The 3,346-nt window shown below is 33.3% G+C and overlaps 1 annotated feature.

The window, feature by feature from the left end:
- Window positions 2,525-3,037: an enhancer, noted in NCBI's record as "OCT4-NANOG-H3K27ac hESC enhancer chr13:87838612-87839124 (GRCh37/hg19 assembly coordinates)". NCBI's record gives its function as "activates a minimal SCP1, AML or CMV promoter by ChIP-STARR-seq in naive H9 embryonic stem cells {active_cell/tissue: H9 hESC(naive)}" and the evidence as "EXISTENCE:reporter gene assay evidence [ECO:0000049][PMID:30033119]".

A 3,346-nucleotide genomic window follows, 5' to 3' on the forward strand; every position in this document is an offset into this window, starting at 1 on the left:
GGGGGGTTATTCATTTCTCATTCAATGATTGTAATTGTTTCAAGGACATTTAACTGGTAATTTTTCAATAGGAAACATAAAATATTTATATATCTTTAGGTATGTAACTTAAATTTTTTTCAAAATAAAAACTCATTCTAAATTATTGCTGTTCAGAATAGAAATTGGTTTTCATAACCCTTTATATATTTATTGTCTGTTCATTTAACTTAGTTTCGTTCTATTAATATTTTAAAGCAATTTTATTTACCACCATTTAATTATGCTTTCTGTTAGTATATTTTGGGCTACTTAAGTTTGATATAAATGAATAAAGTTTCTATAAACCTACTGTCTCAAAACATATGCAAAAAATATTCTGTGGAATTAATAACATACTGAGATGGGTAATACATGGTTGCCAGAATTACTCAGACACTTAATTGTAATTTATCATTTGTTAGGGTGTTCTTTTGTTCTCTGCAATAGTGTTAAGTCCTGAGAAATAGTTTTATAGAAAAATTCATGATGGATTTTGTAATAAAGAAAATTTGCTTGAAAAATTACATGCCATCCTGTAAAAATTAGAACAAATGATAATTAGATTTCAAATGGGACAGAATCCACCTGCCAAAACAAAAACGTGTTCATTGCTGTATTTTTTCTCAAGTTTTTTATAAGTTTAAACAAGTATAAATCCCACACATACCCTACTACTAAATTTGTTAAAAGAGATCATTGATCACATATGTTTATCTCAAAAGCATGAGAAAGTTAGGACCTTTGTATTGATAATGTTATAGCCAGTACTGACTATGCATGACACCATATGAAATCAAATTCCCATTATTCTCAAATTGCTTTTATGCTTTATAGAGTATTTAGTGTGTTTTTGTAGTTATCTAATTTTCCAAACCTACTGGGTCCCCATTTTTTAGTAATTGAAAAAAGGCAGGCAAGTTGATAAGAATGAAAAACTCAAAATTTACAGAATTGACGTTATGAATGTATTAACACGTTTGGTTGAAAAAATAATTTTAAAAACGTTTTAAATACGTATTTTTAGACTGTATTATATTGTAAAATAATGAGAGGAAGACATGGTAACTGTCCTGGAGGATTATTATAAATTAAAAAGAGTCACATACCTAAGATGACACATACAATACCTAAAAAATGATATAATAGACATAATGTATGTTGAAGAAGAAGTGCTGAGAAGACAGGACAGAAAGTTTAAGAGATATGCAAATATGATAAGGGAGATAGCAATGCATTCCAGACTGCAGTGCTGTTTGTTTATAAAATAAAATATGGTGTAGGAGAGTTCCATAAACAATGTAGTTTTTAGAGAAGAAATATATACATAAATAGAAATAAAAACATTTAATGTCTGTTAAATAATTGGAAATTGTAGTAATAGAAGACAGTTAGACAAAGAAATAGCTAAATCTTAGAGATTTCTGGGCTACAGAAATAAATGAGTCTTTTAATTATTTGAACTTTTATTTATTTATTTATTTATTTATTTATTTATTTATTTATTTATTTATTTTGAGACAGAGTCTTGTTCTGTCGCCCAGGCTGGATGGAGTGCAGTGGTGTGATCTCAGTTCACTGCAAGCTCCGCCTCATGGGTTCACGCTATTCTCCCTCCTCAGCCTCCCGAGTAGCTGGGACTACAGGCGCTCGCCACCATGCCTGGGTAATTTTTTGTATTTTTAGTAGAGACGGGGTTTCACCATGTTAGCCAGGATAGTCTCAATCTCCTGACCTTGTGATCCGCCTGCCTCAGCCTCCCAAAATGCTGGGATTACAGGCGTAAGCCACCGCATCTGGCCTGAACTTTTGTATTGGGAAATATAACACAGAAAAAAATTTACACAGAACAAAATTTCATAATACAATTAATTAATCAAAAGTAAACATATATAAGCATATCCAGGTCTAGTAATTTAATATGTTTTAGTAATTTTCAAGACACTTTCATGCCTTGTCCAATCACTACTCTACCTTTTCTTCAAAATGTGGCTATAGTTCTATTTTCTATCAATACAATTTTGTTTGTGCTGGTTTTGAACTTTGTATAAGTGGATTCATACACTAGATGGTCTTGGATATTGTTTGACTACATATTTGGGCGATTTAAATATGTTATTACATGTAGAGGCCTTCCATTTATTTTTGTTGCTGTATTTTTTCTCAAATTTGTCAAATATTTAAGCATTAATGAACATTAGTGTGGTTCTGATTTGGCCCTGCTATTTACCTTTTCGTATACATCTCAGTGCAAAAGTGCACACATTATAATTAAATATACATATAAGAATGGAATTGTTTTGTTATAGAATTTTTTAATATGTTAAACTTTAATAGCTACTTCCAAATATATTGCCTTTTTTGACCAATTTACATTTCCACCAAGAATAAATGAATATCGCTGTCTATCCTTCATGTCACACTTATTAAGTGTTATTTTGGTATTAGCTATATGTGAGGATTTGTAGTAATTTCTTATTTAGTTTTTTTTTCATTTTCCAGCATCTTAAAAAGATTGTAGATTTTTTCATATATTCATTGCCCTTCTATATTTTCTTTTTGTTGTACTGGTTTTAATGTCTTTCCCAATGTTTTCTTTCATGCGCGTCCAAGTGAAGAGACCACCAAGCAGGCTTTTTGTGAGCAATAAAGCTTTTAATCACCTGGGTGCAGGCAGGCTGAGTCCCAAAAGAGAGTCAGCGAAGGGAGATAGGGGTGGGGCCATTTTATAGGATTTGGGTAGATAAAGGAAAATTACAGTCAAAGGGGGGTTATTCTCTGGCGGGCAGAGTGGGGGTCACAAGGTCCTCAGTAGGGGAGCTTTTGAGCCAGGATGAGCCAGGAGAAGGAATTTCACAAGACAATGTCATCAGTTAAGGCAGGAACAGGCCATTTTCACTTCTTTTGTGGTGGAATGTCATCAGTTAAGGCAGGAACCGGCCATCTGGATGTGTATGTGCAGATCACAGGGGATATGATGGCACAGCTTGGGCTCAGAGGCCTGACATTCCTGTCTTCTTATATTAATAAGAAAAATAAAACAAAATAGTGGTAAAGTGTTGGGATGGTGAAAATTTTTGGGGGTGGTATGTAGAGATAAGGGGCGATGTTTCTCAGGGCTGCTTCGAGTGGGATTGTGGCGGCATGGGAACCTAGAGTGGGAGAGATTAAGCTGAAGGAAGATTTTGTGGTAAGGGGCGATATTGTGGGGTTGTTAGAAGAAACATTTGTTGTGTAGAATTATTGGTGATGGCCTGGATACGGTTTTGTATGAATTGAAAAACTAAGTGGAATAAGAGAAGGAGAAAAACAGGTATAAAAGGTCTCA

The sequence above is a fragment of the Homo sapiens genome, chromosome 13 (genome assembly GCF_000001405.40).
Source record: "Homo sapiens chromosome 13, GRCh38.p14 Primary Assembly".
Lineage (NCBI taxonomy): Eukaryota > Metazoa > Chordata > Mammalia > Primates > Hominidae > Homo > Homo sapiens.